The sequence below is a fragment of the Homo sapiens genome, chromosome 10 (genome assembly GCF_000001405.40).
Source record: "Homo sapiens chromosome 10, GRCh38.p14 Primary Assembly".
NCBI lineage: Eukaryota > Metazoa > Chordata > Mammalia > Primates > Hominidae > Homo > Homo sapiens.
Window position 1 is genome coordinate 27969481 of NC_000010.11, and position 13670 is coordinate 27983150.

Consider the following 13670-nt stretch of genomic DNA (forward strand, 5'->3'; position numbering starts at 1 on the left):
AAAAAGCAGTATTTTAAAACTCACTTGCCAGTTAAAAAAGTTGCCCATGCATTTTTCATTTTCACATTGACTCTTTCAAACAGAGCCACAAAAGTCAAACACCCCAAAATTGATGAGAATCAATCAGAGGAGCCAGTGTCTCCCCTCTCCACATGACTCCGTTCTTCAAACAGCTCTCTGGGTTTGCTTCCAAAACACAATGACCCTGTGATTCCCAGAATCCCTGCAGGAGAAGGTCCCTGTGTGATCAACCAGGAATCAGTTCTTAACCCAAAAATGGGACAACATAGAATATCACCTACAGGCTGCAACTTGTAAACTATTTGTTAAGCTTTAAAAAGTGGGCTGGGTGCAGTGGCTCACACCTGTAATCCCAGCACTTTGGGAGGCAGAAGTGGGCGGATTACTTGAGCTCAGGAGTTTGAGACTAGCCTGGCCAACATGGCAAAACGCCATCTCTACTAAAAATACAAAAATTAGCCAGCCGTGGTGTCACACACCTGTAATCCCAGCTACTCGGGAGGCTGAAGCAAGAGAATCGCTTGAACCTGGGAGGCAGAGGTTGCAGTGAGCCAAGTTTGTGCCACTGCAGCCTGGGTGACAGCGAGATTCTGTCTCAAAAAATAAATAAATAAATAAATAAATAAATAAATAAATAAATAAATAAATCTCTAGGTATTTCTGACTGCCCCAGCATTTACGTAGCATTGGCCCTCAATTTTTGCTTTGACGCCTGTTTATAGAAGGTCCTAAATGGCACTTGTTTTGTATATTTCATACATTCATCAAGCCAGTGTCCACTTTATATAGGTCCATTCATATTTTTGAGACTCTAGCCTTTTCATGGTATTAAAGTTCTGTTAGACATTATCTCTATGACAGTTTCGCTGATTAGCTCCATATAATTTTCATCATTCCACATTCTCCCAGTGCTTACTTAACCAGGTCTCTAGCATGATTTTTACATTTCCCCTGTGACTGCTCCAAGTGTTTTATCATCTTTTCTGCATATTACTTGTCCTGACTCACCAACTATATAAAAGTGAATTGTGTTCTTCTCTTCCCTTCACAGTGCTCCACACATAAACTCTATCAAATCTTTCTGCTTAGAATACAAAGAGGAGCAGAAAGGAATCAACCTGCGCCTTGGAGGGACATGTAAATATATATTCAATATTTTTCTATTATAAAATAAAGTTCTGGCCAGACGCAGTGACTCATGCCTGTAATCCCAGCATTTTGGGAGGCTGAGGTGGGCAGATCACTTGAGGTCAGGAGTTTGAGACCAGTCTGGCCAACATGGTATAACCCTGTCTCTACTAAAATTACAAAAAATAAAAAGTTAGCCAGGCGTGGTGGCATGTGCCTGTAATCCCAGCTACTCAGGAGGCTGAGGCAGGAGAATCACTTGAACTCAGGAGGCAGAAGTTGCAGTGAGCTGAGATGGCACCACTGCACTCCTGCCTGGGCAACAGAGCAAGACTCCATCTTAAATAAATAAATAAATAAATAAATAAATAAATAAATAAACAAACAAACAAAATAAAATAAAATAAAGTTCTGTGAAAAATTAGGTGAGTATGGTTACTAATGCTGCATCTGAAAACAAATGCAAATATCTACATACCCTTTGTAATTAACAGTGGTCTTCCAGTTTAAGCTTGGTTCCCATCTCTTGGTCATTTGATTCCTCCAAAAATTAATTTGGTTCTTCTCCAGTGACCTTTTGTCTGAACCAGAAATGTCTTTGCGGAGGGCAGCTGCTTCTTCCTTCTTGGGGGCTTTGCCAAGCTGATCCTTTTCCTTTTGCTGGTCTTCACTGAAGCTAATTCCCTTTATTTAAAAAATGAGAATAATTTTTAATGATATCTGAATTATCTAGTGTTCTCTGAAGATTAATGCCAGTGGTAAATTCAGGAAAGGAAGTCTCGGATGCATTTAACTTGTGGTCCTTAGTAACAGCTAAACAAGGACAACATCAAGACTAAGGCTTCTGTTGGAGTTAGGTGGACAGTAACGTGATGTTCCTAAACTCACACCTCTGCTGCAGCACAACAGATACAACTGCAAGGCTGGACCTGCTCATTCCTCACCACCACCAAAAAATTCAACCAAAACCCTCTATTGACTAAAACACATCGTATTTAAATGGCTTGAACCAAAGATAAAGGGAACATCTTGAAGGTAGACAGGTATGACATATTACAGAGGAATGAACATAAGAATTTTAAAAGACTTCTCATCAGAAACACTGCAAACCAGAAGAAAAGAGAGTAATATCTTTAAAGCACTAAAAAGGAAAACACAAAAAACCATGTCAACCCAAAATTCTTTACTAAGAATAAAACAAAAATCTTTCAAAAATGAAAGCAAAATAAAAACCTTCACAGATGAACAAAAACAGAGAATTCACTGCCAGAAGACCTGTGCTAGAAATGTTAAATAAAATTATTCAGTCAGGAGTAATACCATGCCAGCCAGAAACATGGATCTATTCAAAAAATTAAAAGCTGCAGAAATGGTAAAAATAAATATACAAGACTTTGTGTATTATTTTTAATCATTCTAACATATAATTGACTATCTAAAGCAAAAATAGTAACAACGTTTTGAGGGGTTTATGACATGTAGAAATAAAATGTGTGACAACAATAACACAAAGTATAGGGAGGGGTATTCAAGGTATATTGTTGTAAGTTTCTTAAACTATTTGTGAATTTTAGAATTTTACTTAAAGGAGACGTGACAAATTTGAGATATATATCATAAGCCAGAGGGCAGCTAAGAAACTTTTAGTAAGAAATATAACTAGTAAACCAATAGCATAAATAAAATGGAATCATTTTAAAAAGCTCAATTCAAAAGGGGCAGAGGAAGGAAAAAAACTACAAAGAACAGATGAAACAAACAGAAAACAAGTAGCAAGATAGTAAATTTAAATTTAACTATATTAGTAGTTACATCAAATGAAAGTGTTTACACACATCAATTAAATGAGAAATCATCAGATTGGATGGAAAAGGAGACCTAACTATTTGTGGCCTAAAGAAACTATTTTATATATAAAGATACAAATACATCAGAAGTGAAAGGCTGGAGAAGAATAGTTTATGCAAACAATAATCAAAAGAAAGCAGGAATGGCCATATTAAAATCAGACAATATCGACTCCAAAGCAAATAATATTAACAGGGACGAAGAGGAGCACACATACTAATAGAGGATCAATTAGCACACAATCGTAATTGTATATTCACCAAGCAACAGAACTTCAATATACATGAAGGAAACACAGAGCTAAAAGGAAAAGTAGATAAATCCATAATTGGTAGACTTCAAAACTCTCTCAGTAATCAATAAAATGAGCAGAAAAAAACATCAGTAATGATATAGAAGATATGAGCAACACAATCAGACAACTTGGCTTAATTGACATTTAAAAGACACACCTCTCATTAACACCAGAATACAGTCTCCTCAAATGTACAAGGAAAAAAATCACCAAAATAGATCATATACTGGGCCATAAAATGAACATTAATAAGTTTAAAGTAACTAAAATCATATAAACATCTTAATACATTGGAATTGAACTAGAAATTAGTAAAAGAAAGTTCTACAGAAACTCCTCATATATATTGAATAAAAATATCATATATCAAATATCTGTGTAACATAGTTTATACAATGCTCATAAAGAAATTTGCAGCATGAACTCTCATGGTCAAAATAATACATACATACATACATACATACATACATACATACATACATACGCTGAGACAGCCAGATCACTTGAAGCCAGGAGTTCAACACCAGCCTGGCCAACATGGCAAAACCCCATCTGTACCAAAAATAAAATAGTTTATTTTGGGTTCAGGGGTACATGTGCAGGCTTGTTATATAGGTAAACTCATGTCACAGGTGTTTGCTGTACAGATGATTTCATCATTCAGGTACTAAGCCTAGTATCCAATAGTTATTTTTTCTGATCTTCTCCCTCCTCCCACCCTCCAATCTCAAGTAGGCCCCAGGGTCTATTGCTCCCCTTTGTGTCCATGTGTTCTCATCATTTAGCTCCCATTTATAAGTGGAACAGGGGGTAATATGTTTTCTTCTTAAAAAGGACAGGATCACATTCTTTTTTATGGCTGTGTAGTATTCCATGGCATATATGTACCACATTTTCTTTATCCAGTCTCCCACTGATGGCCATTTAGGTTGACTTGATGTTTTTGCTACTGCGAATAGTGCTGCAATGAACATATGTGTGCATGTGTCTTTATGCGATGATTTATATTTCTCTGGGTATATACCCAGTAATGAAGTTGCTGGATTAAATGGTAGTTCTGTTTTTAGCTCCTTGAGGAATTGCCACACTGTTTTCCACAATGATTGAACTAATTTACACCCACCAACAGTGTGTACGTATTCCCTTTTTTTCTGCAACTTCACCAGCATTTGCTATATTTTGACTTTTTAATAACAGCCATTCTGACTGGTGTAAGATGATATCTCATTATGGTTTTGATTTGCATTTCTCTAATAATCAGTGATATTGAGCTTTTTTCACATGCTTGTTGGCCACATGTATGTCTTCTTTTGAAAAGTATCTGTTCATGTCCTTTGACCACTTTTTAGTGGGGTTGTTTGTTTTTCTCTTGAAAATCCATTCTTTATGGATGCTGGATATTAAACCTTTGTCAGATGCACAGCTTGCAAATATATTCTCCCATTCTGTAGATTGTCTGTTTATTCTGTTGACAGTTTGCTGTGCAGAAGCTCTGAGGTTTAATTAGATCCCACTTGTCAATTTTTGCTTTTGTTGCAATTGCAAATGGTATTGCCTAGGTTGTCTTCCAGGGTTTTTATAGTTTTGAGTTTTACATTTAAGTCTTTTATCCCGCTTGAGTTGATTTTTGTATATGGTATAAGAAAGCGGTCCAGTTTCAATCTTCTGCATATGGCTAGCCAGTTATCCCAGCACCATTTATCGAATAGGGAGTCTTTTCCCCATTGCTTGTTTTTGTCAGCTTTGCTGTAGATCAGATGGTTGTAGGTGTGCAGCCTTGTTTCTGGGCTCTCTATTCTGTTTCATTGGTCTATGTGTCTTCTTTATATGCCAGTACCATGTTGTTTCGGTTACTGTAGCCCTGTGGTATAGTTTGAAGTTGGGTAGTGTGATACCTCCAGCTTCGGTCTGTTTTTGTTTTTTTTTTTTTTGCTTAGGATTGCCTTGGCTATTCTTTTCTGGTTCCATATGAATTTTAAAATAGTTTTTTCTAGTTCTGTGAAGAATGTTTTTGGTAATTTGATAGGAATAGCATTGAATCTATAAATTGCTTTGGGCAGTATGGCCATTTGAGTGATATTTACTCTTTCAATCCATGAGCATAGGATGTTTTTCCATTTGTTTGTGTCATCTCTGATTTCTTTGTAGTGTTTTGTAATTCTCACTGTAGAGATCTTTCACCTTTCTGATTAGCTCTATTCCTAGGTATTTTGTTCTTTTTGTGATAATTGTGAATGGGATTGCATTCCTGATTTGGCTCTTGGCTTGGCTGTTGTTGGCGTACAGGAATTCTGGTGATTTTTGTACGTTGATACATTGATTTTGTATCCTGAAACGTTGCTGAAGTTGTTTACCAGCTAAAGCAGCTTTTGGGCTGAGGATCCCTTGTTTTATATGCTCCAAGTAAAACATTATTCACAACTGAATTCCTCAAAATTTCTTCAAACACAAACATGACTAGATTAAATTAAACGTATTGTAACATTTTTTAAAAACTGGAGAAATAAGAGTAAATAAACCCAAATAAAAAGACATAAGCACCAAAGTAAAGTATAAAAGATAAAAATTAAACCTAAAACTAGTTCCTCGAGGAAATTTAGTAAATCTATAGTCCTATAGGTGGATCAAAACAAAAAAACCACAAATGACCAATATTAGGAATGAGAGAGGTAACAATGACTACAAATTCTACAGATATTAAAAGGTCAATAAGAGAATACTATGAAAAAAGTTTATGCCAATAAATCTGGCAACTTACACCAAATGAACAAATTCCTTTAAGACAATCTAATCTACCAAAGCTCCCTCAGGAAGAAACAGACAACCTGTATACTGTCATAGCTGTCAAATAAATTGAATTTGTAGTTAAAATTTTTCCCATAAAGAATATTCCAGGCCCAGATGGCTTTCACCAAACATTTCTACCAAACATTTAATAAACCGACCAAACATTTAATAAACAAACAATATTAATTCTATACAAACTCTTCCAAAAAATTGAAGAGAAGATGAAACTTTCTAAATCATTCTATAATGTCAGTATTACTTCAATACCAAAACCAGACAAAGATACTAAAGAAAACAAAGCTACACACTAATAACTTTATGAATATAGGTGCAAAACTTCTTAAAATCTTAGCAAATTAAATCTGATAATGTACATAAAAGATTCAAGTGGGGTTTGTCTCAGAAATGTAAGGTTGGTTTGTCACTTGAAAAATTAATCAAAGCAATTAATCACATTAACAAACTAAAAGAGAGGAAAAAAACACATGATTCTCTCCACAGTACACAAAGAAACATTTGATAAAATCCAACATTCATTCCTAATAAAAGTTCTCAATGACTCAGAATAGAAGCCTTAACCTTGTAAATGGTTAGCATCAAACTTAATTGAAAGATTTCCCTGTAATATCAGGAACAAGAGACCATTTCTATTCAATTTTTTACTGGTGATTCCAGCTAGTGCATTAAGGAAATAAAAAGAAATAAAAAAACTGTTGAGATTGGGAAGGAACAGTTAAATTAGGAAGGAAGAAATAAGAAAATGATCTTTACTCACTAACAATATCTACATAGAAAACCCTCTGGAATGTATAAACAAGGTACTAGAACTAATAAGGGAGTTTAGCAAAATTTCAGGATATAAAATCAGCATACAAAAATCAAGTGTATATTTATACAATAGCAACAAATGACTAAAAATAGAAAATTTAAAACTCATTAACAATAGCCCCAAAATATGAAACACAGATAAGTTTCAAAAGAGATGTATAAGACCTGTATATTGAAAGCTACAAAACATTGGTGAGAGAATTTAACTAAGACCTAAATAAATGGAGAGACATACTATGTTCATGGATTAGAAAATTCAATATTGTTAAGATGTCCATTTTTCCTAAATTCGTCTATAAATTCAAGGCAATCTCAACCGTAATTCCATCAGGCAATTTTTTAAGAAACTGACATGCTGGCTCTAATATTCTTATGGACATGCAAAAGATCTAGAATAGCCAAAAAACTTTTTTGAAAGAACACCATTGGAGGATTTAAAATAAACAACTTCAAGACTTATCATAAAGCTAGAGTAATCAAGACTGTGGTATTGGTGTAAAAATAGAGAAATCAAAGTTACAGTATGAAGTGTTCAGAAATACATTCACAGACAAATGAACGACTAATTTTTGACAAAGTTATAAAGGTAATTCAGTGAAAAAACAATAGATTTACTTTTGACAAATGATGCTGGAACAACTAGATAAGCAAAAGAAAAAAATGAACTTTGATCCATAACTCATATACACAAACCAAATTAAAGTGGATCATAGATATAGATTGGAAAGGTAAAATTGAAAAATCTCTAGAAGAAAACATTGGAGAAATTCATCATTATACTGGGTTTGGAAAAGCGTTATAAAACACTATAAGGAAAAAATAAGTTGGACTGTTTCAAAATTGAAGACTCTTGCTCTTTGAAAGACATTGCTTAGAGAATAAAAATACAAGACTCGGCCGGGCACGGTGGCTCACACCTGTAATCCCAGCACTTTGAGAGGCCAAGGTCGGCAGATCACAAGGTCAGGAGATTGAGACCATCCTGGCTAACACGGTGAAACCCCATTTCTGCTAAAAAAAAAAAAAAAAATTAGCCAGGCGCGGTGGCGGGCGCCTGTAGTCCCAGCTACTTGGGAAGCTGAGGCAGGAGAACGTTGTGAACCCAGGAGGTGGAGCTTGCAACGAGCCAAGATCGATCATGCCACTGCACTCCAGCCTGAGTGACAGAGGGAGACTCTGTCTCAAAAGAAAAAACAGAAAAGAAAAAAGAAAAATACAAGACCCAGATTGGGATGAAATATTTATATTTCATGTATCTAACAGAATATATAAGCCAAGAACATATATAAAGATCTGTTGCAACTCAATAAAAAACTGAATAGCCCAATGAAAAAAACAGACAAAGAGTCCAAATAGACACTTTACCACATAGGATATGTGAATGGCCAATAAGCACATGAAAAGATGCATTCAAGAACTGCAAATTAAAACCAAATGAGAGACCAGTACACACCTATTAGAATGTCTGTAGTTAAAAGACTGACCATATCAGTTAATGATGAGTATGTGGAAGAACTGGGACTCTCATACATTGCCTACATCAATGTAAAATATTGCAACCACTATGGACAGCAGTTTACCAGTTGCTTAAACATACAACTACCATATGATCTTACCATTTCATTCTAGGCACATTGAAACTATATGATCATACAAATCCTTGTACAAAAATGTTCTTAGTAGTTTTATTTGTAATAGCCCGAAACCTGAAATAACTACACATCCATTAACAGGTGAGTGGATAAACAAATTGTGGCATATCCATACAATGGAATAATACACATCCATAAAAGCAATAAATTAATGATAGATGCAAAAGCATAGATGAATCTCAAAAAGAAACAAAAATCTGCACAAACCATACCACAAAAATTATAGAACACCAAGGAAGATCCTAAAGGCCTCCAAAGAGGGGAAAAAGCCAAAACAAACAGTTTATGTGGAAACATAAGCCTTTGAAATGCTAACTAAAAATTAATTTCAAACCATTACTCTAGAAACATCTGAGATAAAATAATAAAGGTATTCTCTAACATCCGAATCCTCAATTTTTCCCTCCCATGTGCATATTTTACTCAGGAGGGTCTACAAAATGATGGGTGCACCAAGAAAAGGAAAACTGGAGCCGGGCATGGTGGCTCACACCTGTAATCCCAGCACTTTGGGAGGCCGCGACAGGTGGATCACCTGAGATTAGGAGTTTGACACCAGCTTGGCCAACATGGGAAAACCCCATCTCTACTAAAAATACAAAATTAGCCGGGTGTGGTGGTGTGCACCTGGAATCCCAGCTACTATGGGGGCTGAGGCAGAAGAACCACATGAACTCAGGAGGCAGAGGTTGCAGTGAGCCAAGATCACACCACTGCACTTCAGCCTGAGTGACAGAGCAAGACTCCATCTCAAAAAAAGAAAAGAAAAGGAAAACTGAATAGAAGGCAACTTCCTCAACATGCTAAAGGTCATATAAGAAAATCCCACAGCTAACATCAGGCTCAATGGTGAAAGCCTAAAAGCTTTTCAATTAAGATCAGGAGTCAGGCTAGGCATGGGGGCTCACAGCTGTAATCCCAGCACTTTGGGAGGCCGAGGCAAGCAGATTACTTGAGGCCAAGAGTTCGAGACCAGCCTAGTCAACATGGTGAAACCCCATCTCTACTAAAAATCTAAAAATTCGCAGAGCATGGTGGCAGATGCCTGTGATCCCAGCTACTCGGGAGCTTGAGGCACGAGAATCACTTGAACCCGGGAGGGGAGGTGAAGGTTGCAGCGAGCCAAGATCATGCCACTGCACTCCAGACTGCAGTCTGGGTGACAGAGTGAGATGGAGTGAGACTCCATCTCAAAAAAAAAAAAAAAAAAAGATCAGGAATCAGACAAGGATGCCTGCTTTTACCACTCTTATTCAACATAGTCCAGGAAGTCCTAGCCACAGTAATTAGTCAAGAAAAAGAAATTGCAAAAGAGTCTAAATTGGAAAGGAAGAAGTAAAACTATTTGTATGCAGATGGCATGATCTTGTATGCAGAAAAACCTAAGAATACACACACACACCCATACACACACACACACACACACACACACAGAGTTAAATGAATTCAGTGAAGTTGCGAAATTCAATCTTGATTTTAACACTCAAAAATTAGATCTGATTTGATCACTCAAAAGCTGTATTTCTATACACTAGCAGTGAATAATTGAAAATAAAATTTAGAAAACAATTTCATTTACAGTAGCATCAAAAATAATAAAATGTTAATGAGTAAATATAATGAAGGAGAAAAACTTGTACACTGAAAACTTCTAAACATTGCTGAAAGCCATTAAATATACAAATAAATGGAAAGCTATCTCCTGTTCATAAACTGGAGAACTTAATATGGTTAAGATGGCAATACTATGTAAAGCAATTCATAAATTCAATGAAATCTCTATCAAAACCCAATGGCATTTTTTGCAGAAATGTAAAACCAAGCCTAAAATTCATAAACAGTGTCAAGGAATACCGAATAGCCAAAACAGTACTAAAAAACAAAAACAAAGTTGGAGGACTCACACTTCCTTATGTCAAAACTATTATAACTAAAAGAAAGATATAGACCAATGGAATAGAATTAAAAGTCCCCAAGTAAACTCTTCCATCTATGATCAATTGATTTTCAACAAGAATGCTGAGACCATCCAAAAGAGAAAGGACAATCTCTTCAACAAATTGTGCTGGGAAAACTGAATATCCACATGCAAAAGAATGAAATTGGAGCCTAATGGACAAAAATCAACTCAAAAGAGATCAAGGGCCTAAAGTTAAGAGCTAAAACTATACAATCCTTAGAGGAAAAACACAGTGCTAAATTTTTCATGACCTTGGATTTGGCAATGGTTTCTTAAATATGATATCAAAAGCATAGGTAAAAAATAGGTAAGAAAATAAGAAAAAATAGGTAAATTAGGCTTCGTCAAAATTAAAAATGTTTCTGCATCAAAGGACACTATCAAGAAAGTTATAAGGCAACCTGCAGAACAAGAGAAAAAATTTGCAAACCTTCTATCTGATAAGGGGTTAATATTGGGTATATACAAAAACTACAACAACAAAAAGATTCAATTTAAAATATAAGCTAAGGACTCAAGCAGACATTTCTTCAAAAAAGATATACAGATAACCAACAAATATATGAAAATATGGTCGACATTACTAATCATTATGGAAATGCAAATCAAAGCCCCAATGGGATACCACTTCACACTGACTACGATGTTTATAATTAAACAACAACCTAGAAAATAAGAAGCATTAACAAGGATGTGAAGAAAGTGGAATCTTTGGATAATGCTGGTGAGAATGAAAATGGTGTGGCCCCCGTGGAAAACAGGTTGGCAGTTCCTCCAAAAGTTAAATACAGAATTACCATATGACCCAGAAATTCCACTTTTAGGAAAAGACCCAAAAGAATTGAAAATAGGAACTCAACAGATACCTGTACACCAATATTCATAGCAGCATTATTCACAATACCCAAAAGGTGGCAACAACCCAAGTGTCCATCAAGGGATGAATGCATAAACCAAATGTGGTCTATACATAAACAAAATATTATTCTACCATAAAAGAATGAAATTCTGATACATGCTATAGCATGGATGAGCCTTGAAAACACTATGCTAAGTGAAAGAACCCAGACACAAAAGGACAAATATTATATCATTCCAGTGACATGAAATATCTAAAATAAGCAAACTGATAGAAATAGCAGATCAGAGTTAACCAGGAAGTCAGGGAAGAAGGAATGGGGAATTATTGCTTAATGGGTGTAGAGTTCAAGTTCGAGAGACGAAAAAGACTTGGAAATTGACAATAGTGATATTTGTACAACATTGTGAATGTAATTAATGCCATTGAACCCTGAACAATGATACTACATTTACAGTATTTTTATGTTATGTTATGTTGTAAAAAAAAACCACTAATAATAAAAAGTGCCCAAAAATAGGCAAAATTACTGTTTTTCTTGTACCATAGAAAGTTGTAGTTTAGTAACATAATGCTATGAAAGCTCAAAAGAAACCATAAAACTTACCAATTTAGACATATTTTCTGAAAATTTTGGTGATTTTTCTCTTAAAAATGTGACAAGGTTTTTATAAATTGAACCTTTTCTCTCATAATTAACGTCCCCTTCATCATCTGTTTTGCCCTTTGGGAAAAAACAAGTTTCATTCTATGATTAACATAAGAACAATTGTAAGAAGCTGATCAATACATCACAAGCTAGCCACACGTATTATTTTCATCTCCGAAGGATCTATATGGTAGTTTTAATACAGGAAATGTATAGGCAAAATCCTTCCCCCTTAATTTAATGTTATCTATTTTTCCATTCATTCACTCATTCCTTCCTTCATTCAATTGTTCATTCATTCAGCAAGGCTTTACTGAGTACCTCCTATATGCATGTAAGGCACTCTGCTGTTCAGCAGAGAAGTGAGAGCTTCCTTCTCTCCGCTCTCCTCTACTCTGAAAATGCATTATGACCTCACGAGCCTTAGTTGATGATGTCATAAAAGTCTTCAAGGTTAGAATTTAACCGTGGAAAAGCCTACATTTCTGTTTGTCACACTCTGTTCTTCTGTCTGTGGCATGGTTGCTATAGGCTTATTTTCTAGATCTCTGTGTAACGATCTGTCCACACACCCATGTGTCTCTCTCTCTCTTCTTGTCTCTTTCCTTTCCTCATTTTCCTTTTCTTCCCTACCTCTATTGTTCTTCCATAACAGAATATATATATATAATGTATACACACATCACATAACTATATGTATATAAATACATATAACTGCAGTTTGTTATATATAACTGTATACACAAAAACATTTCTATACGTATGACCAGTGTGTTTTAAACTTTGTTGTAATTATTGAGTAGTTTTATGGTCCTTGTCTTTCATTTTTTTAAAACTTAAAGGGATACTTAGATATCTCCATGCTAAATAAGTTATATGTATGTAGATCAATAATAACCTTTGATAGAAATAAAGACTCCCTGCCCCCCTCCAGAAGGTCAAAGAAAATCATTCCTTCTTTTGTCCCTTTATTCCTAATTAGAGATTTCGTTTTTCTAAAATATCATAAACCAAAGCAAAATCTTATTTGTCTACTGCCTCTTTGTAGAAATGAGCTCAGTGTCATGCTAATAAGAAAAGCACCAAAAGGCATGTCAGAAAGATAACTATAGGTAATCAGAAAAGAGGCTCCAGCATTTTGGTACCAACCCAAGCCAACATGTAACAACCCTCCAGGCAGTCCCCCGTGATGGCTGGGTCCCCATTAAGGACTTGGATCCTCCTTGTAGAATTTTGTTTCTGAGTTCCAAATTTATGTTGAAGATACTGAGGGCAGGATGTTGCAGAGGTGAAAGCTAAGCTCCTTCTAGCTGGTTCTGTGAATAGGGATGAGACTGAAAGTGTTTTAATCCAGAACACTGTGTGCTGTTTATCACTCAGCTCAAAGCCCAGCCACCCAGCCTCTACTTTGTGCTACTCACGCAGGAATCTGCAATGTCGTATTTCTCCTTTCACCAGGCTAGGTTATTAGGCTCCGTCATTAGAATCAGCTAAAGGAAGACTGAAAGGCTGGCAGAGGGAGGAGGGACCTGCTGCTTCCTGCTGGCCCACTGTCCCTGTTAGAGTCACCCCAGCAACGGCCCTTCTTTCCACACAGTGGCAGTTGCTTCCAGTAGCAACAGTTGGTTCCAGTTTCCAGGTTT

At 35.8% G+C, this 13670-nt stretch overlaps 1 protein-coding gene across 27 annotated transcripts in view; it reads right to left on the bottom strand.

The window, feature by feature from the left end:
* ODAD2 (outer dynein arm docking complex subunit 2) overlaps nucleotides 1-13670 on the bottom strand; it is a 187508-nt gene that overhangs the window by 157313 nt on the left and 16525 nt on the right. For 22 of the 27 annotated variants that reach the window (XM_047425404.1, XM_024448052.2, XM_047425414.1 and 19 more), the window contains 2 exons: nucleotides 11986-12102; nucleotides 1628-1833 (listed from right to left, as the gene is read on the bottom strand). In XM_047425404.1, the coding sequence (XP_047281360.1) occupies nucleotides 1628-1833; nucleotides 11986-12102 (323 nt within the window). Of the gene's footprint in view, nucleotides 1-1627; nucleotides 1834-11985; nucleotides 12103-12348; nucleotides 12392-13448; nucleotides 13531-13670 lie in introns of those variants that run through there. The other 5 variants (NM_001312689.2, XM_024448055.2, XM_024448056.2 and 2 more) reach the window with 4 other exon arrangements.